At 53.4% G+C, this 17,965-nt stretch overlaps 1 protein-coding gene, 1 long non-coding RNA gene and 1 other non-coding gene across 15 annotated transcripts in view, besides 17 other annotated features; 1 reads left to right on the top strand and 2 right to left on the bottom strand.

The window, feature by feature from the left end:
- The window catches only part of EML2 (EMAP like 2), a 36,230-nt gene extending 19,083 nt beyond the window's left edge, over positions 1 to 17,147 (bottom strand). For 2 of the 12 annotated variants that reach the window (NR_147901.2, NR_147899.2), the window contains exons 1-10: positions 16,791 to 16,881; positions 13,652 to 13,870; positions 13,436 to 13,559; positions 13,159 to 13,263; positions 10,363 to 10,391; positions 10,023 to 10,152; positions 5,840 to 5,989; positions 4,588 to 4,657; positions 4,379 to 4,489; positions 1,469 to 1,564 (exon numbers count right to left, since the gene is read on the bottom strand). Coding sequence is in view for 7 of the 12 variants with exons in the window: in NM_001193268.3 (NP_001180197.1) it covers positions 1,469 to 1,564; positions 4,379 to 4,489; positions 4,588 to 4,657; positions 5,840 to 5,989; positions 10,023 to 10,152; positions 10,363 to 10,391; positions 13,159 to 13,266; positions 13,436 to 13,559; positions 13,652 to 13,870; positions 16,791 to 16,962 (1,209 nt within the window). In the remaining 5 variants the exon portion in view is untranslated. Of the gene's footprint in view, positions 1 to 1,468; positions 1,565 to 4,378; positions 4,490 to 4,587; positions 4,658 to 5,839; positions 5,990 to 10,022; positions 10,153 to 10,362; positions 10,392 to 10,812; positions 10,916 to 13,158; positions 13,267 to 13,435; positions 13,560 to 13,651; positions 13,871 to 15,096; positions 15,248 to 16,790 lie in introns of those variants that run through there. The other 10 variants (NR_147902.2, NM_001352053.2, NR_147903.2 and 7 more) reach the window with 8 other exon arrangements.
- Positions 2,055 to 2,134: a silencer, noted in NCBI's record as "silent region_10783". NCBI's record gives its function as "represses an Ori minimal core promoter by ATAC-STARR-seq in GM12878 lymphoblastoid cells {active_cell/tissue: GM12878}" and the evidence as "EXISTENCE:reporter gene assay evidence [ECO:0000049][PMID:35858748]".
- Positions 9,741 to 10,592: an enhancer, noted in NCBI's record as "H3K27ac-H3K4me1 hESC enhancer chr19:46141481-46142332 (GRCh37/hg19 assembly coordinates)". NCBI's record gives its function as "activates a minimal SCP1, AML or CMV promoter by ChIP-STARR-seq in naive H9 embryonic stem cells {active_cell/tissue: H9 hESC(naive)}" and the evidence as "EXISTENCE:reporter gene assay evidence [ECO:0000049][PMID:30033119]".
- Positions 9,829 to 10,123: a silencer, noted in NCBI's record as "tiled region #4040; K562 Repressive DNase matched - State 2:TssF". NCBI's record gives its function as "represses a minimal TATA promoter and a strong SV40 promoter by Sharpr-MPRA in K562 cells {active_cell/tissue: K562}" and the evidence as "EXISTENCE:reporter gene assay evidence [ECO:0000049][PMID:27701403]".
- Positions 9,829 to 10,123: an enhancer, noted in NCBI's record as "tiled region #4040; HepG2 Activating non-DNase unmatched - State 3:PromF". NCBI's record gives its function as "activates a minimal TATA promoter and a strong SV40 promoter by Sharpr-MPRA in HepG2 cells {active_cell/tissue: HepG2}" and the evidence as "EXISTENCE:reporter gene assay evidence [ECO:0000049][PMID:27701403]".
- Positions 10,512 to 10,605, bottom strand: MIR330 (microRNA 330). The gene has a single exon (NR_029886.1). It is a non-coding gene; the product is annotated as a microRNA 330 (primary transcript).
- Positions 10,593 to 11,444: an enhancer, noted in NCBI's record as "H3K27ac-H3K4me1 hESC enhancer chr19:46142333-46143184 (GRCh37/hg19 assembly coordinates)". NCBI's record gives its function as "activates a minimal SCP1, AML or CMV promoter by ChIP-STARR-seq in naive H9 embryonic stem cells {active_cell/tissue: H9 hESC(naive)}" and the evidence as "EXISTENCE:reporter gene assay evidence [ECO:0000049][PMID:30033119]".
- Positions 10,820 to 11,099: a silencer, noted in NCBI's record as "silent region_10784". NCBI's record gives its function as "represses an Ori minimal core promoter by ATAC-STARR-seq in GM12878 lymphoblastoid cells {active_cell/tissue: GM12878}" and the evidence as "EXISTENCE:reporter gene assay evidence [ECO:0000049][PMID:35858748]".
- Positions 11,120 to 11,209: a silencer, noted in NCBI's record as "silent region_10785". NCBI's record gives its function as "represses an Ori minimal core promoter by ATAC-STARR-seq in GM12878 lymphoblastoid cells {active_cell/tissue: GM12878}" and the evidence as "EXISTENCE:reporter gene assay evidence [ECO:0000049][PMID:35858748]".
- Positions 13,012 to 14,358, top strand: EML2-AS1 (EML2 antisense RNA 1). 2 transcript variants are annotated; one of them, NR_130728.1, is made up of 3 exons: positions 13,012 to 13,284; positions 13,397 to 13,590; positions 13,743 to 14,358. It is a non-coding gene; the product is annotated as an EML2 antisense RNA 1 (long non-coding RNA). The 2 variants fall into 2 exon arrangements; NR_130729.1 differs by lacking the exon at positions 13,397 to 13,590.
- Positions 13,419 to 13,478: an enhancer, noted in NCBI's record as "active region_14803". NCBI's record gives its function as "activates an Ori minimal core promoter by ATAC-STARR-seq in GM12878 lymphoblastoid cells {active_cell/tissue: GM12878}" and the evidence as "EXISTENCE:reporter gene assay evidence [ECO:0000049][PMID:35858748]".
- Positions 14,000 to 14,851: an enhancer, noted in NCBI's record as "H3K4me1 hESC enhancer chr19:46145740-46146591 (GRCh37/hg19 assembly coordinates)". NCBI's record gives its function as "activates a minimal SCP1, AML or CMV promoter by ChIP-STARR-seq in primed H9 embryonic stem cells {active_cell/tissue: H9 hESC(primed)}" and the evidence as "EXISTENCE:reporter gene assay evidence [ECO:0000049][PMID:30033119]".
- Positions 14,009 to 14,268: an enhancer, noted in NCBI's record as "active region_14804". NCBI's record gives its function as "activates an Ori minimal core promoter by ATAC-STARR-seq in GM12878 lymphoblastoid cells {active_cell/tissue: GM12878}" and the evidence as "EXISTENCE:reporter gene assay evidence [ECO:0000049][PMID:35858748]".
- Positions 14,279 to 14,328: an enhancer, noted in NCBI's record as "active region_14805". NCBI's record gives its function as "activates an Ori minimal core promoter by ATAC-STARR-seq in GM12878 lymphoblastoid cells {active_cell/tissue: GM12878}" and the evidence as "EXISTENCE:reporter gene assay evidence [ECO:0000049][PMID:35858748]".
- Positions 14,719 to 14,768: an enhancer, noted in NCBI's record as "active region_14806". NCBI's record gives its function as "activates an Ori minimal core promoter by ATAC-STARR-seq in GM12878 lymphoblastoid cells {active_cell/tissue: GM12878}" and the evidence as "EXISTENCE:reporter gene assay evidence [ECO:0000049][PMID:35858748]".
- Positions 14,859 to 14,908: an enhancer, noted in NCBI's record as "active region_14807". NCBI's record gives its function as "activates an Ori minimal core promoter by ATAC-STARR-seq in GM12878 lymphoblastoid cells {active_cell/tissue: GM12878}" and the evidence as "EXISTENCE:reporter gene assay evidence [ECO:0000049][PMID:35858748]".
- Positions 14,999 to 15,048: an enhancer, noted in NCBI's record as "active region_14808". NCBI's record gives its function as "activates an Ori minimal core promoter by ATAC-STARR-seq in GM12878 lymphoblastoid cells {active_cell/tissue: GM12878}" and the evidence as "EXISTENCE:reporter gene assay evidence [ECO:0000049][PMID:35858748]".
- Positions 16,907 to 17,406: an enhancer, noted in NCBI's record as "H3K27ac-H3K4me1 hESC enhancer chr19:46148647-46149146 (GRCh37/hg19 assembly coordinates)". NCBI's record gives its function as "activates a minimal SCP1, AML or CMV promoter by ChIP-STARR-seq in naive H9 embryonic stem cells {active_cell/tissue: H9 hESC(naive)}" and the evidence as "EXISTENCE:reporter gene assay evidence [ECO:0000049][PMID:30033119]".
- Positions 17,400 to 17,669: an enhancer, noted in NCBI's record as "active region_14809". NCBI's record gives its function as "activates an Ori minimal core promoter by ATAC-STARR-seq in GM12878 lymphoblastoid cells {active_cell/tissue: GM12878}" and the evidence as "EXISTENCE:reporter gene assay evidence [ECO:0000049][PMID:35858748]".
- Positions 17,770 to 17,829: a silencer, noted in NCBI's record as "silent region_10786". NCBI's record gives its function as "represses an Ori minimal core promoter by ATAC-STARR-seq in GM12878 lymphoblastoid cells {active_cell/tissue: GM12878}" and the evidence as "EXISTENCE:reporter gene assay evidence [ECO:0000049][PMID:35858748]".

Here is a 17,965-nt window from a genome sequence, read left to right on the forward strand (position 1 = left end):
GCCTCCGCACCATTTCTGTTTCCCCAAACAGTGGGCCTTGATTCAAAACCCAGGTTTCCACCAGGCGCAGTGGCTCACGCTTGTGATCCCAGCACTTTGGGAGGCAGAGGCAGATGGATCACCTGAGGTCAGGAGTTCGAGACCAGCCTGGCCAACATGGTGAAACCCCGTCTCTACTAAAAATACAAAAATTAGCCGGGCATGGTGGCACACACCTGTAGTCTCAGCTACTCAGGAGGCTGAGTCAGGAGAATCGCTGGAACCTGGGAGGTGGAGGTTGCAGTGAGCCAAGATTATGCCATTGCACTCCAGCCTAGGTGACAAGAACGAAACTCCGTCTCAAAGTAAGTAAGTAAGTAAGTAAGTAAGTAAGTAAATAAATAAATAAATAGAACAAAACCCAGGTTTCCTTCCCCTAGCCCAGGACAGGTGTGCAACCTGAGGCAAGTATCTCTTCCCCTCACCATGCCTCATCCTTAAAATAGGCCACCTCTCAGAGAGGGAAATCGAGACACCAGAGGACTGCAGAGTCAGCAAGCAGCCACCTCAAACCCACCCTTCTGTTGGGCCTGGTCCACCGTACCCCATATCTCCATATCCTCACCAAGGCCCTACGAGGAAGATGCTACCATTATCCCCATTTTATTTTATCTATTTATTTTTTTGAGGCAGGGTCTCACTCTGTTGCCCAGGCTGGAGTGTAATGGTGCAATCATGGCTCACTGCAGCCTCAACCTACCAGGTTCAAGCGATCCTCCTACCTTAGCCTCCGAAGTAGCTGGGACTATGGGTGCACACCACACCCAGTTAATTTTTTTTTTTAAGTGCCAGATTTTCTGTTTGTTTTGTTTTTTGTTTTTGAGACGGAGTTTAGCTCTTGTTGCCCAGGCTGGAGTGCAATGGTGTGATCTTGGCTCACCGCAACCTCCGCCTCCGGGTTCAAGAGATTCTCCTGCCTCAGCCTCCCGAGTAGCTGGGATTACAGGCATGTGCTACCATGCCCAGCTAATTTTGTATTTTTAGTAGAGACAGGGTTTCTCCATGTTGGTCAGGCTGGTCTCGAACTCCTGACCTCAGGTGATCTGCCTGCCTCGGCCTCCCAAAGTGCTGGGATTACAGGCGTGAGCCACCGTGCCCGGCCTTTTTTTTTTTTTTTTAAGTAGAGATAGGTCTCCTTATGTTGCCCAAGCTGATCTCAAACTTCTGAGCTCAAGCAATCCTCTCATGTCGGCCTCCCAAGGTGCTAGGGTTACAGGTGTGAGCCACCTTGCCCAGCCTATTATCCCCATATTACAGATGAGACCACCAAGGCTCTGAGGTGGCAAGCGGCTTGCTCAAGTCACACAGCCAGCAAGGAGTAAAGCCAGGGCTTAAACACGGGTCTATCTGATTGCAGACTCCTAACCACTGAGATTGGGAAAGTCCCACAGTGGCACCCAGCAGGAGGGGATGAGAAAAGTCACCTCACCTTGACATCCACCACCTTGGTCTCCTTGGCCCAGTCCCACACCGAGAGCATGTGATCATTGGATTCATCCACTGCACACAGCAGGTTGCCTCCATTCTAAAGAGGAGGAGAGAGGAGGGGGACAGAGGCAAGGGGAGTCAGGGCCCATCCTCCCCCCATGCCCACCAAGGCATTCACCACACAGGCCTGTTTTAAAACCTTCAGGCTGGGCACAGTAGGTGGGAGGATCGCTTGAGTCCAGGAGTTTGAGGCCAGCATAGGCAATATAGGGAGACCCTGTCTCTTAAACAAAACAAATTTAAATATTAAAAAAAAATAAAAAGCCAGGCGTGGTGGCTCACACCTGTAATCCCAGCACTTTGGGAGGCCGAGGCAGGTGGATCACGAGGTCAGGAGTTCGAGGCCAGCCTTGCCAACATAGTGAAACCCTGTCTCTACTAAAAATACAAAAAATTAGCCAGGCGTGGTGGCAGGTGCCTGTAATCCCAGCTACTCGGGAGGCTGAGGCAGGAGAATCGCTTGAACTGGGAGGCAGAGGATGCAGTGAGCCAAGATTGCGCCATTGCACTCCAGCCTGGGTGACAGTGAGAGACTCTGTCTCAAAAAAAAAAAAAAAAAGACCTTCAAAGGCCCTGGCCATTTTGCAGGAAACACATTAAAATACACCCTCCATTAGAAGCTGTGAAGACATCTGAAATGGTTTCATACTATGCCTTGAAATGACTCATCCCTAATAAACTCATTTCATTTGCCCTCAGCTATTGTTTCTCTGCAGCCAGCACCCCTAGCCAGGAATTCTTGCTGACATCATCTCATTTGCATTTACATATATAGAGAATGACTGATGTAGGTGAAATTCAGCAGTTAACAAAGTTGGTATTATGTTGGGTTTTTGTTTGTTTTTTATTTTATTTTATTTTTTGAGACTGAGTCTCATTCTATTGCCCAAGCTGGAATGCAGTTGCATGATCTTGGCTCACTGCAACCTCCACCTCCCAGGTTCAAGCGATTCTCCTGTCTCTGCCTCTCAAGTAGCTGGCACATGCCACCACTGCCCTCCTAATTTTTGTATTTTTAGTAGAGACAGGGTTTCACTATGTTGGCCAAGCTGGTCTTGAACTCCTAACCTCTGGTGATACACCAGCTTCCACCTTCCAAAGTGCTGGGATTACAGTCATGAGCCACCTCGCCTGGCCAATGTTGGGCTTTTATACCTTTCATTAAATACAGGTTAATTTTGATTTGGCAAGGTTTTATTTTCTTCTCCACACCTTTGGTAACAATATGGCTTACCCCTACCCCAAGCTCTTAAATGTTTCTTTAGGCCTCAGAAAACCGGTGAGGGTCCAATCCAGTGCCTCTTAAGCTATCTGTGCAGGAGACTGGCTGTTTTTTACTCCCTAATCCATTGAAGACTAATATTTTAATCAAATATGATAAAAATGTAAAATATGATTTTTATCTATCTATCTATCTATATATTTTTGAGACAGAGTCTCACTCGGTCCCCTAGTGTGGAGTGCAGTGGTGGGATCTGAGCTCACTGCTACCTCCGCCTCCCAGGTTCAAGTGACTCTCCTGCCTCTGCTTCCTGAGTAGCTGGGATTACCACACCCAGCTAATTTTTGTATATTTTTAGTAGAGATGGGGTTTCACCATGTTGGCCAGGCTGGTCTCGAACTCCTGACCTCAAATGATCCACCCATCTTGGCCTCCCAAAGTGCTGGGATTACAGGCATGAACCGCATCTGACCAATTTTTATTTATTTTTTAAAGTCAGCGTCCTGCCATATCGCCCAAGTTGGAGTGTAGTGGCATGATCACAGTTCACTGCAGCCTCGATCTCCTAGGCTCATTCAATCCTCCCACCTCAACCTCCCAAGTATCTGGGAGTACAGGCCCAGGCCCACACTAGTACACCCAGCTAATTAGAATTTTTTTTTTTTTTTTTTTTTTTTTTAGTTGGAGTCTCGCCCTGTCGCCCAGGCTGCAGTGCAATGGCGCGATCTCGGCGGCTCACTGCAAACTCCGCCTCCCAGGTTCAAGCAACTCTCTTGCCTCAGCCTCCCAAGTAGCTGGGATTACAGGCACCCTCCGCCATGCCCAGCTAATTTTTGTATTTTCAGTAGAGACGGGGTTTCACCATGTTGGCCAGGCTGGTCTCAAACTCCTGACCTTGTGATCCGCCCGCCTCGGCCTCCTAAAGTGCTAGGATTACAGGCGTGAGCCACTGCACCTGGCCTTTTTTTTTTTTTGAGTACGAGTCTCGCTCTGTCGCCCAGGCTGGAGTGCTGTGGCGCGATCTCGACTCACTGCAAACTCCCCCTCCCGGGTTCAAGCGATTCTCCTGCCTCAGCCTCCCGAGTAGCTGGGACGCCACCACCTCAGACTAATTTTTGTACTGTTTTTGGTAGAGACGGGCTTCACTACGTTGGCTAGGCTGGTCTCAAACTCCTGACTTCAAATGATCCTCCCACCTCAGCCCCCCAGAGTGCTGGGATTACAGGCACAAGCCACCATGCCCAGCCAAAATAGGATTTTTTTTTAAAAAAAAGCCCACAATCACACACTTGGATGTTGTGGTGTTGTCAAACTGCTCTCCAAATTCCTAAAGGCATACTCTCGCTTTCTGTACTTATCTCTGCCTGGACATGCCAAAACCCGCCTGCAAATGGGCAAGGACCAGCTGGGCCCTAGGCACTGGGTTTAAAATGCCTGAGAGGGCTGGGCGGGCACGGTGACTCACCCGCCCCTTGGGGTGAGGACACGCCCTCATTGTGACGTCACAGAGGCGGGCCACGCCTCCAGCAGGATTCCCGGCCCTCAACCCAAGGGGCGGGTGAAAAGGTGCGGGCACTTGCCCTCCTTTTCGGGGCGAAGGGGCGGGGTTAGGGTGGGCGAAGGACTTACAGATTTGGAGAAGCCCACACAGCACACGGCTCTGTCAAACACCCCCAAGCCCAGCACGTGTAAGGTGGAGAGGGAAACTGAGTCCCAGATGCGCACGTGGGGCGGCAGCGGCTGCAGGGAAGAGAGGCTTGTTACCTTGGGGGTGCCAGCTGCTTGTCCCCCACAACTGCGTCCTGCACTCTTTTCTGCTTTCCCCTCCCTTCCATTACCTTCCCTTCCTTAGTGGTTCCCGCCACCTGTCCCGTGGCGATGGTGACCATATCTGGGTGGATGGCCAAGCTGCGGAAAGAAGGGACAGAGAGACCAGGGCTCAGTGGGAGAGAAGAGGCTCACAGAGACCCAGGACATTCATTCCACAAATTGGCTGGTTGAGTTTAGTCAATAAACGTGTATTTAGTGCATTAATAGCAGTGAGCGGATGCCCTCCGGGTGCGCTGGCGCTGGATCAGAAGCAAGACTTAGGCCTGGGGCCTCTAACTCAAATGCCAGCAGGACGCAGGTCTGTACCTCACATAGTGGCCAGGAGAGCACACTTATTTAAGGGGGCTGACACCACCCTGCTCCAGCCACCAGGAATTGTCTGGAGTGCCTATTCAGTTTTTTTTTTTTTTAAGAGGCGGAGTCTCCCAGCACTTTGGGAGGCCGAGGCGGGCGGATCACCAGAGGTCAGGAGTTTGACACCTGCCTGGCCAACATGGGGAAACCCTGTCTCTAGTAAAAGTACAAAAATTAGCTGGGCGTGGTGGCGGGCACCTGTAGTTCCAGCTACTCGGGAGACTGAGGCAGGAGAATCGCTTGAACCCAGGAGCGGAGGTTGCAGTGAGTCGAGATCGTGCCACTGGACTCCAGCCTAGGCGACAGAGTGAGACTAGTTCTCAAAAAAAGAAAAAAGAAAAAAAAAGGAGATGGAGTCTCGCTCTGTCCCCCAGGCTAGAGTGCAGTGGCAGGATCATAGCTGACTGCAGCCTCCAACTCCTGGACTTCAGCGATCCTTCCGCCTTGGCCTCCCAAAGTGCTGCTTTCACAGGCGTGAGCCACCTCGCTGCCCAGATTTTCAAAAGAAGAAAAAGATCCAGGCATTGCGTGAATTCACTGTCTGAATTTTTTTTGAGACAGAGCTTGCTCTTTCACCCAGGCTGGAGTGTGGTGGCTCAGTCACTGCAGCCTCGACCTCCTGGGTTCAAGTGATCCTCTCGCCTCAACCTCCTGAGTAGCTGGGACCATAAGGGCTTACCACCACACCCAACTAAAACACCTGAAATATTGAAATATTGATACTCAATCCACATTTTCCCACTAAATTCAGCCTGAGGGCAGCTGGTGGCTTTGGAGAGGGAGCAAAGGCTTAGCCTTGCCCCAAACCCCACAGGGTAGCAATGTGAAAAGAGGCATAGAGGGGCAGGGGCTGGAGCTCCATCTCCAGCCACAGCTCCCTCCCGTCCCCTCTGTCCCACATCTCACCATTTGATGTCATCGTTGTGTCCCAGGTAGTGTCGCTGCCTCTGCTCCTCCACGCTGTATAGCACGGCTACGGAGGCCACAAAGTACACTATCTCCCCGGTGGGCAGCAAATAAAGGTTGGCCCGGCAGTCTCGGCCACGGTAGCCATAGCTGGAGCCACCCAGGGGCTGGTTAAGGAATGTGTTTTGTTGTTGTTGTTTGTTTGTTTTGTTTTTATTTATTTATTTATTTTTAATTTTTTTATTTATTTATTTTTTTGAGATGGAGTCTCACTCTGTCGCCCAGGCTGGAGTGCAGTGGCGTGATCTCAGCTCACTGCAAGCTCCGCCTCCTGGGTTCATGCCATTCTCCTGCCTCAGCCTCCTGAGTAGCTGGGACTACAGGCGCCCGCCACCATGCCCGGCTTATTTTTTGTATTTTTAGTAGAGACGGGGTATCACCATGTTAGCCAGGATGGTCTCGATCTCCTGACCTTGTGATCCACCCGCCTCGCCCTCCCAAAGTGCTGGGAGCCACGGCACCCAGCCTATTTATTTTTTCTTTTTTTTGAGACGCAGTCTCGCTCTGTCTCCAGGCAGCAGTGCAGTGGTGCAATCTCAGCTCACTGCAACCTCCGACTCCCTGGTTCAAACGATTCCCCTGCCTCAGCCTCCTGAGTATCTGGGATTACAGACACACGCCACCACACCCAGCTAATTTTTGTATTTTTAATAGAGATGGGATTTCACCATGTTGGCCAGGATGGTCTCAATCTCCTGACCTCATGATCCGCCCGCCTCAGCCTCCCAAAGTGCTGGGATTACAGGCGTGAGCCACCACGCGCGGCCTGTTTTGTTTTTTTAAGACAGAGTCTGTCACCCAGGCTGGAGTGCAGTGGCATGATCCCAGCTCACTGCAACCTCCGCCTCCTGGGTTCAAGCCATTTTCCTGTCTCAGCCTCCCAAGTAGCTGGGACTACAGGCAGATGCCATCATGCCAGGCTAATTTTTGTATTTTTAGTAGAGATGGGGTTTCACCATATTGGTCAGGGTGGTCTCCAACTCCTGACCTCAGGTGATCCACCCACCTTGGTCTCCCAAAGTGCTGGGATTAGAGGTTTGAGCCGCTGGCGCCCAGCCGAGGAATGTATTTTGCATCACACACACTGGCTGAGGACCAGACTCAACAAGGTCATTGGAATGAGGTTTTTCTGTTTCCACTCTCACCCCTGTAGTGGGCTGATGGTCCCCTCCCACTCCAAAAAAAAATGAATGTCTGTTTCCTTTTTTTTTTTTTTTTTTTTTTTTTTGAGATGGAGTTTCGCTCTTGTTGCCCAGGCTGGAGTGCAATGGTGTGATCTCAGCTCACGGCAACCTCCACCTCCCGGGTTCAAGGGATTCTTCTGCCTCAGCCTCCTGAGTAGCTGGGATTATAGGCATGCGCCACCATGCCTGGCTAATTTTGTATTTTTAGTAGAGAAAGGGTTTCTCCATGTTGGTCACGCTGGTCTTGAACTCCCAACCTCAGGTGATCTGCCCACCTCGGCCTCCCAAAGTGCTGGGATTATAGGCATGAGCCACCGCGCCCGGGCTATGTCTGTTTCTTAATCCCCACAACTTGCAAATGTGACCTTACAAGGAAAATGGGTCTTTGCAGATATAATTATAGATCTCAAGATGAGATCATCCTGGATTATCAGAGTAGCCCCTAAATCCGATCACAAGTGTCCTTATAAATGACAGAAGAGGCAGCCTCAATCTCCTGGGCTTAAGTGATCCTCCTGCCTCCGCTTCCCAAATAGCTGAGACTACAGGCATGCACCACCATGCCCAGCAAATTTTTTGTATATTTTTGGTAAAGATGCAGTCTCGCCATGCTGCCCAGGCTGGTCTCAAATTCCTGGGCTAAAGCAGTCCACTTGTCTTGGCCTCCTAAAGTGCTGGGATTACAGGCATGAGCCAATGCACCCAGCCTGCCTGGCTAATTAAAAAGAAATTTTCTGTAGAGATGGGATCTCGCTTTGTTGCCCAAGCTGATAGTTATCTGGTTTATTTGTTAACTGCTCATATTCCCCAATAAGACTGTGAGTTCCATGGTGGCTGAGATTGGGCTGTTTTTTTTGTTTGTTTGTTTTGTTTTTTTCATTTCTGTATCTCCTCCTCCAGGAAGCCCTCCATGACTCCAGGCTGGGTCAGCCCTGTCCCTGTGGATTCCCCATCCCAGTCTTGCACACTCTGGGTTGTCACTCTCAATGAGTCTGTTCCCATGCTAGACTGTATGCCCCAGGAGGGCAGGCAGATGCTGTCATGGTCAGCACTGGGTCCCCAGCCCTATGTCTCAGATGTTCAGAAAATATCTTGAATGGGCCAAGCACGGTGGCTCACGCCTGTAATCTCAGCACTTTGGGAGGCCGAGGCAGGTGGATCACTTGAGGTCAGGAGTCCAAGACCAGCCTGGCCAACATGGCGAAACCCTGTCTCTACTAAAAAACACACAAAAAAATTAGCCAGGCATGGTGGCCCATGCCACCCAGCTACTGTAGTGGCCGAGGCAGAAGAATGGCTTGAACCCAGGAGGTGGAGGTTGCAGTGAGCCAAGATCGTGCCACTGCACTCTAGCCTGGGTGTCTCAAAAACAAGAAAATATCTGAATGATTGTCAATATACATATATCCTGACCCCATGAAACTGCTCTGACCTGCAGTCACTGCAAAGGGGAGCAATCTGAGGTCCTCACTTTTGCAGTCTCAGCCACCTCTCATCAGATGCTTATCAAGCCCTACTGGCAGGACATTTGGGACAGATTCCAGGGGATATTTCCAGCTGCCTCGAGAAGGCTCTGGGCACCCAGAAGGCCAGGCCATTTCACCAACCACCCTGGCTCCTCCAAAGAGGAAACCAAGGCCCAGAGAGAAGCAGACAAGGACCGGGTTCCTGGGGTGTGGACTCCAAGCTCAATAGGATTTTAGGAAAAAGTTTGGGTCCCAGAATCAGGATTGTTGTCTCCTACCTATAACCTCAGTTTCCTTATCTGGAAAGGAGGTATAATAATTTCCAAACTGTAGGCCTCAGAGCTCTTGGAGGCCACTAGTTGTAAAAAAATAAATTCATACCTGGAATAACTTACAACAGTGTCTGTCAGATAGTAAGTGCTTGAGTTATTATTTTGGATTTTTTTTTTTTTTTTTTTTTTTTTGAGAAAGGAGTCTCGCTCTGTCGCCCAGGCTGGAGTGCAATAGCACAATCATGGCTCACTGCAACCTCGACCTCCCAGGCTCAAGTGATGCTCCCACCTCAGCCTCCAGAGTAGCTGGGAACCACAGGAGCATGCCACCATGGCTGGCTATTTTTTTTTTCTTTTTCTTTTCTTTTTTTTTTTTTTTTTTTTTTTTTTGAGACGGAGTTTCACTCTTGTGGCCCAGGCCGGAAAGCAGTGGGGCAATCTCGGCTCACTGCAGCCTCTGCCTCCTGGGTTCAAGCGATTCTCCTGTCTCAGTCTCCCGAGTAGCTAGGTTTACAGGCACATGCCACCACACTCGGCTAATTTTTGTATTTTTAGTAGAGACAGGATTTCATCATATTGGTCAGGCTGGTCTCAAACTCCTGACCTCAGGTGATCTGCCCACCTCGGCCTCCCAAAGTGCTCAGATTACAGGCATGAGCCACCGCGCCCGGCCTGCTATTTTATTTCCTGTAAAGACGAGGTCTTGCTATGTTGCTCAGGCTGGTTTCAAACTCCTGGGTTCAAGTGATCCACCCACCTCGGCCTCCCAATGTGCTGAGTTAGTGTTTTATCAGTCCCTGTGCATGGGGCACATACTATGAGCTCAGTACCTTTACACATTATTTCACAGGTCTATGGACCTGAGATCATAAAATTCATTTTTCAGAGTCAAGACGACTTTTCCAGGGTCACACGGCCAGGTACGGGCTGGACTGGGGTTTGAACCCATCTCTGTCAGACTCCAGAGCCCGGGCTTCCAGCCATTCCCAACTCTTTTTGCTCAAATGCACCAATCCCACTCTGGCCACATAGCCCTTGAACGTGCTGTGCTTGTTTTGTGTGTTGCCCAGGCAGGTCTCAAACTCTTGGCCTCAAACGATCCTCCCAAAGTGCTGAGATTACAGGCCTGAGCTGCCTTGACCGCCTTTCTATTTCCTCCTGGGGGGATGGGAGCACCAAGGAGATTCCAGCAAAAGGATACACCCACTCCAGCTTGAGCCGGCAAGAAGGCAGCTCCGAGCGTGTGTCCAGGCTGTAGGTGGGTGCCAGCTCGTCTGGGATCATCATGGGCACAGGGCGGCCCCTCAGGAACATTTTCACGGAGCCATCCTCTGCCAGGACACCCCCAGAGGTCAGGCACTGACACCAGCCCCATCCCTATTCCCTCTCCTCTTCCAGCTTTATTTATTTATTTTTTTAAAGGCAGGGAAACTGAGGCCAGAGAGGCAAAGACCCAGTAGCCAAGACTCCTGACCTCTGGCTCCAGCCTGTCACCCCAACAAGCAAGCTTCCACCGAGCCCTTCCCCATCTCCCCACTCACCCACACTGAAGATAACTTCTTTGGTTTTGCTGTCAGGAAAGGACAAAGAAAAAAAAAGGGTCTTAGTATTCAGTTCAGAAAAGGGGAGAAACCATTCCTCCACCCCCACCGCTCCCCGGAGGTCTCCGATGAAAACGGGGCCGAGTAAGGGGCAGAGCGCTGCCTCTCTGCAGGCCGTGTGCTTTGCTCGGTTGATCTTGCAGAGCCTAAGACACAGGCCCAGAGAGGCAGTGATCGCCAAAGATCACACAGCACGAAGTGGCAGGGACGCGATCCTGGAAGAAGGGAGTCACCAAGGACCCTTCCCTCCTAATCAGCAAGGTGCTCCCCAGCGCCCCCCACCCGCAGTTCCCCCAGCACACCAAACGTCAAGCAGAGGGAGAAACGGGGAGAGTTTAAGGGAAGGGGCGTGTCCCCACGCCGGTCTGGGTCCCAGGGGTTGGGTGAAACCTGAGATCTAAGCCCCGGGAGCGCGGAGAGGAGATGGGGGGTGGTCTGCGAAAGGGTCTCACCCAGCTCCAAAGCTACTCATGGCGGCGGGTGGCGGAGCTTCGGGGCCGGGGGTGGAGCCGGGACCGGCTCTGCCGCTTCCGGCCCTGGGAGGCGCCCGGGCCGCCGCGCCCCTGCCCCGCCCTCCACAGCCACCCCTGGAGCCGGAGGGTCCCACCGGGTCACACATCCCGGGCTGTGGACTCCCGATCCCAGGTTCTTTCGGGGTGGGTGGGGGAGAGTGGTTGAGAACATGGACTCGGGAGCGCGCCTGCTTGAGTTAAAACCCCAGTTCTGCTAATTCCTAGCAGTGTACACAGGTCGTCCAACCTCTGCCTCGGTTTCCTCATTTAAAAAATGGGGATAATAAGAGTACCCGGCCGGGCGCGGTGGCTCATGCCTGTAATCCCAGCACTTTGGGAGGCCGAGGCGGGCAGATCACCTGAGGTCAGGAGTTCAAGACCAGCCTGGCCAACGTGGTGAAACCCCGTCTCTACTAAAAATACAAAACTTAGCCTGGCGTGGTGGCTGGCGCCTGTAATCCCAGCTACTTGGGAGGCTGAGGCAGGAAAATCATTCGAACTCGGGAGGCAGAGGTTACAGTGAGCTGAGATTGTGTCATTGCACTCCAGCCTGGGCAACGAGAACAAGACTCCGTCTCAAAATAAATAAATAAATAAGAGTACTCACACCTCCCGGGGGTAGTTGCGAGGGTGAAATTGGTTAATTATTGGGAAGTGCCTGGAGTATACACAACGCTGTATTTGTGTTTGCTATGTTTGAGCAGAGTTGAAATGTGCAGCTTTTGACCTTGGTCTTGCCCTTGCGTGGCCTCCTAGCGCTGACCACGCCCACTGCACCATAACTCCAGCCTTAGGGTGATTTTTGTTTTGTTTTGTTTTTGATACAGGGTGTGGCTCTGTCGACCAAACTGGAGTGCAATGGCGTGATCATGGCTCACTGAAACCTCGAATTTCCTAGGCTTAAGTGAGCCTCCTGCCGCAGCCTCCCAAGTAGCTGGGTCTACAAGCGAAGGCCAGCACGCCCGGCTATTTTCTTTCTCTCTCTTTTTTTTTTTGTTTTTTGTTTTTTGTTTTTTGTTTGTTTGTTTAACGGAGTCTTGCTCTGTCAGCAGGCTGGAGTGCAGTGGCGCGATCTCAGCTCACTGCAACCTCCGCCTCCCGGGTTGAAGTGATTCTCCTGCCTCAGCCTCCCGAGTAGCTGGGACTACAGGCACGCGCCACCACGCCCATTTTTGTATTATTAATAGACAGGGGGTTTCACCATGTTGGCCAGGATGGTCTCGATCTCTTGACCTTGTGATCCACCCGCCTAGGCCTCCCGAAGTGCTGGGATTACAGGCGTGAGCCACCGCGCCAGGCCTAATTTATTTTCATTTTTAGTAAAGACGAGGGCTCGCTATTTTGCCCAGCCTGGTCTCGAACTCCTGAGCTCAAGCGATGATTCCCGCCTCCGCCTCCCAAACTGCTAGAATTATATAGCCTTAGTTTTTGACTCTGTCCAGATCTTCAGTATGGCCCCGCCTCTGGAGTTGACCACGCCTGTCATTCTGAGCCTCCCTTCTAACCCTGTCCCTGAGTTGACTCAGTTGCTTGAGAATTGACTGCTACCTCCCGCCAACGCTCCTTCTCCGGCCCGCCAGGCATTCTGATTACGTCCATTTTCACGTATTCCTTATGTGAATACCTTCGAGGCCTCCAAGTTGGCTGCACCTCTTGGCATTTGACCACGCCCCTACGGCCCCGCCCAACCTTTAAGCCACGCCCTTTTCAACCTGGCAGTGCCCCCCGATTTTGATGTCAAAGCTTCTGGAATCTGGAATGCCTCCACCTGGTCTCAGCCTCTGTTACTCCGTACCCCAGATTTTAATTTCGCCCAGGCGAACACTGTGGCTGCACCCTTAAATTCCTCAGACTCCCTCTTTCCTTGTAGAAACTCTGTGGCTGCTGCCTTGACTTCATCCCTGAAACTCAACGGGGCCTCTCCTGTACCTTAATAACCACGCCCATAAGCCAAGCTCCTCCCTGACTTCCTCACCCAGTAGACCTGACCGTCCAGCTTCTAAAAACTCTGGCCACGCCCCTCAATATTGACTCCGCCCTCCCAGACCTTCCACTGTTACCGTGCCACCTCAAGATTGGTCCCTCCAAGGCTCTGGCACCGTCCCCGCTTTTGAACTAGCTGGCCCCACTCTAGGTTACGACCTCGTGGCCTGGGGCATGACTACATTTCTCGACCATTTCCTCCCTATCTCTTTCTGCGGCTTGACGCCGCCCCAGTCCTTACCCTTCCTTTTTGGCGCTACAGTTGCTGCTGGAGGATGTGGTCCGGCTGCGGGGGTCCTCACGGCGCACCGAGGCGAGGCGCTCTGGTGACAAGTAGCGGCGGACACTGCTAAAAGAGAGCACACAGGTGGGGGCAGAGCCTTCTAGGCCAGCAGGCGAGTGCCGTGAGCAAGCGAGATTCTCCCTGCACCCTCTGCTGCTGGAGCTCAGGCAAACAAACCACCTCTGTCTCCCACGAGGTCTTGGAAGAGGCTGGGGGTCCCGGCCTTGTGCCTTACCTGCGCCCGGAGGTCGCCTCCTTCTTGGGAGAGGATGGGGACGTGGCATAGCCACCCACGCGCCGCGGGGGTCCCGAGCCATTAAGGGGCGTCCTGGTGGGAAGGCCTTTCAAGAGCTGACACACTGGAGGGATGGGGTTAGGGGACAGAAGAGGGTGAGTATAAGGACCAGGCCCCGGTCCTCCCCATCCCACCCCTCCAGTCTAACGGGGATACCCGAGGCAGTGGTGCCTAAGCGCGGAGGCGCCCGGCCCTTGGGGGTGCCCCGCGCGCGTAGCGCCGCTCCCTGTTCTTCGCATGCCCGCAGGCGACGCAGAGCATCCGCCAGCGCCGCCTTTAGGACCGCCAGCTCGTCTTCCTGTAACTGCAGCCGCTGCTCCAGCGCCGACACGCGGTCGTCCACTTCCATACCGCTCGTGCCCGACAAATTGTCATCTGGAAGACGGGGGAGTGCCGGCTGCAGGGCCACCCAGGAGCTCCAGTGCCCAAGGGGTCCCTCCCGCCTTCCTGGGTCTAAGCGGGGGGCCAGCCACGCCCCTTTCCTGTCCCGCTACCTGGGGCTGGGACACTTGGACATGAGCCAAGGAAGAGGACTCTGAAGGGGGAAGGAAATCCCCACAGCTCTCCAACCCATCCGCACACTCCTCTCTGCCACAGCGCGCTGGCCGTGTGACCTTGGGGAAGTCCCTTCCCTCTTATTTTCTAAGAGTCTGTGAACCCAGGAGCCTCTCGCTCTGGCTTTAAGATGCTATGACTAAGACGTGACCAGGCGCAGTGGCTCACGCCTGTAACCCCAGCACTTTGGGAGGCCGAGGCGGGCGTATCACGAGGTCAGGAGATCGAGACCATCCTGGCCAACATGGTGAAACCCCGTCTCTACTAAAATAAAATTAAATTAAAAATAAAATAAAATTTAAAAAAAAGCCGGGCGTGGTGGCGCGTGCCTGTAGTCCCAGCTACTCCGGAGGCTGAGACGGGAATCGCTTGAACCCGGGGGGTCGGAGGTTGCCGTGAGCCAAGATCGCGCCACTGCACTCCAGCCTGGCCACAAAGCGAGACTCCGTCTCAAAAAAAAAAAAAAGAAAAAAGAAAAAGAAAAAAAAGATTCTTTGATTTTATGACTAAGACGTTAAGTATCTATGAGTGATAAGAGCATTTGCAAAATGACACCAACCTACTCCTAATGACACTAAAGTTCTAGAATTGATCCCCAACATCCTCCGACGAAGATTCTGTTATGAATACCAACGTCTCTTCACTGTTTCTAAGACTTTCCAAGCCAAAAGGTCATGCCTAGCCTCCCCGTTTCCCCTCCTCTCCTCACCCTGGGGTTCGACCCTAGAGCCAGCTGCAAGGACAGAGCTTCGGCGGCCCCTGGCGGCGGACTTGGGGGTTGCAGGCAGCGCATGGCAGACCCAGAAGACCCAAGGGAGATGCAGACCGGATTGACAACCAAACTCTTCCCCAGCAGGCATTCCTCTTTTCTGTTCCCCTTCTTTATTTCGCCTCTGTACCCCGCGCCCCAGATTTGGCTCTCCAGCCTATGGGTGCAGCCAAAATGACTCCCCGAGTCGCCCCCCCAACCCCGCTCATTTTCCCAAAGTGGGAGGGGCGGAGACCGAAGTGGCCCCTCTCCCCCTTTTCCCGCAGAATACTCATACCCAGACTCATTGCTGACCACAACCAAGGAAGCCCTGGTTCCCAGCCTGGTGGAAGTAAAGGTGGTAGCTTAGACGGGGACAGGGCGTGGAGCTCGCCCCTGCCATCCCGCGTCCACAGGCCGCGCAGCTGGCCCTCTGGGCTCCGCAGTGCAGCCGCCGCTCCTCCCTCCTTCCCTTCGTAGCCCAATCGCCTGCCGAGGCTTGCCCGCCCTGCCCCCCACTCAGCGCCTCCCAGGTCCGGTGCCTGGACCTGCAGAGGGAGGTGGGAGCCTCCTGAGGTCAGAAGGAGTGAGCCGTCAGGACTTAGAACTCGTAACAGGGGGAAACCTCTAGGGGTCTTGTTGGCATCACGTTTTGCAGACGGGAAACTAAGGAAGGAGGCTAGTAGGAGTGTGCAGAGACACGCCAAAGATCACTCAGCCCGTAGGTGGGGGCTGGGGACCCAATCACCTCCTGTGCTCAGCCTGGTCCTACCTACCATTAATTATACGACCAGAAAAATGGCATCTGTTACTGTGAGCTTACATGTGCCAGGCACTGCTCACGCAAAACATTTAGCACGTTCCCGGCTCATGTTGATGCTCGATAAATCCAGAATAGGATTAACTATTTTTATGATACCTAATGCTTTTGGCAACTCTAGTAGTTGTAGTAGCATAATCCATTTTAGGAGGAGAGGAGGAGGAAGGTTACTGAAGCCCAGAAAGGTGACGTTACTTGTTACACGGACACACAGCCGTTCAATGGAAGAACCCATACTCAACAGGAATGGCCACCCTGTCATTCTGGCTCTTAGAGGGACAGAGGAGGACAAAATAAGCATTCTGGGTCCCCTGCCAATTCCAGTGGTCCCTGGCACTAGGGTGTGTGCCCAGAGGACTGAACCTCCAAACTGAGTTAATAGAGGTGCTTTCATCTTGACCCTTCTGCCCCACCCAGAGAGGCCAGCTGCACTGTCAGGCCTTGGCCAGCCCATCCTACCAACCCCCACACCTCCACCATCCCCATCCCTGTGACTCAAGCCCTCCGCTCCCTCCTGACCATCCCCCCATCCTCAGCCTTTTCCCAGAGACCAGGCCTCACTTCCCACTTTTCCCTCCCAACTCCCCTCTTCTCCTATCTCCCCTCACCTGAGCCCGACACCCACAGTGGTCCTTCTGGTATCACACCCATTTGTCTAGGGAGAAGGGATGGTGCTAATGCATGGGAGGGCCAGGGCCAGAGGATTTGGGAGGTATCCTAGAAGCAAAGTCCTCTGGCCGTCCCTTTCCAGTCCCACACTCTGCCCTCAACTCAACACCAAATCCACCCCCACCCCCTCTGTCTGTCCCCCTGCTATGGAGATAGGGGAGCATTCCAGAAGCTTGAGGGGAGAGAGAAAGGGCAGAGTTCCAGGCCCAATCGACCCCCAGGCCGTTCCCCCTTCCAATCCCAGGTTCCTTCGGGTTCTGCCCCCTTCTCTCCTCTCCGTCTAGCCACCTCGGGAGTACAGAAGGATCCAAGTGGATGGGGGGCTGGGATCTAGGTTTTGGGGACCAGGGACCTTGCTCTTGGGTCAGGGTCCTGCTGAGGGAGAGAAAAGGGGGATCTTCAGCAAGGGAGGGGGTTGGGGACTTGCAAGGAGGAGGCTGGGGCAAGAAGAGATGGGTCCAGCCTTGGGCGGGGCCAAGGTCGGAACTGAGGAGGGGTCTCACCGTTGCAGTATCGCAGCAGCGAGGACGTGTCGTACAGGCCGCAGAAGGCCGGGCCGCGCTCCGCCATCGCCCCACCACAGCCACCGCCGGCCCCCCCGGTCCCAGCCCGGGCCCGGTCCCCCCAACCAGGCCCTGCCTCCCGTTGCCATAGCAACGCCCTTCGTTCCAGCATCCCCAGCTCAGCTCGCCTGGCATCAGGCGGCCGGCGCCGGGCCCGGCGCTGGGGTCATCCCCAGGATGCCCAGAAAGGGGGGTCGGGACACCGCCTGCCAAGCCCCCCAACACAATCCTAGGGCCAGGATTGGCTGCGCCCGGATCCCCCTAGGTACCGTCTGGTCCCGCCCACAACCGGAGTATAGTCTCTCTAGACCCCCCTCCTCGCCCGTTCAGAACCAATGAGAGCCTGTCGCGCAGGGCCCTTCACCAATAGGGATGCAGAGGGATTGGAAGGGGCAGGGTCTTTCCTGCTTTCAGCCTGAAGCGCAGCCCCGAGCTCCGGGAGGAGGATGGTGTGGAGGAAGACACTCCACTATCCCCAAAACCTCTTCAGACTTTCATTGGATTTTCCAAAAGCCCCCTCCGTAAGGCCAGGGCCCGACCTTAGAGCCCCAAACCCGCCCAGGGAGCTCTTGTTTATGACATCTAGGCCCACCCCCAGGCTCTTAGCCCCACCCCCAGAATCTTGCGGGTGCTAAAGTTTTATTCCTACCCACGGAATCATTAGCACCGCCCCTGAACCGCCAAGGGTTTATAGTATAGTACTTCTCCAGAGCTCTGGACAGGACCTTCTTATAGGATTAGCTCTGGCCTCGGAATTTAAATCCCTCCCCCCGCGGTCTGGTAGTCCCTCCCTAACTTTCCCCACCGCTCTGTCTGCGGCCCCAGGCCCTTAGCTCCGCCCTTAGAGCCCTAGCCTCCCACAACCGCATTATCCAGTCCGGGCTTTGGCACAGGCCCAGTTGTGAGGCTTGGACTAGCCCGCGTGTCAGGCAGAGATGGCTCGAAAGTTGTGGGGGAAAAGGGGAGGGTACAAAACCCGACAATGGATTTCAAGAATATTGGACCGCCTTCCTCAAGTCTCCAACGACGGTAAACACCTAGAGTATAGGCAGGAGAAGTGAAGTCCGGAGCCGAAAAAGAATTCCCTCTGGACACAGAGATGAAAAGTAGAAGTT

Source organism: Homo sapiens, chromosome 19, assembly GCF_000001405.40.
Source record: "Homo sapiens chromosome 19, GRCh38.p14 Primary Assembly".
Taxonomy (NCBI): Eukaryota; Metazoa; Chordata; class Mammalia; order Primates; family Hominidae; genus Homo; species Homo sapiens.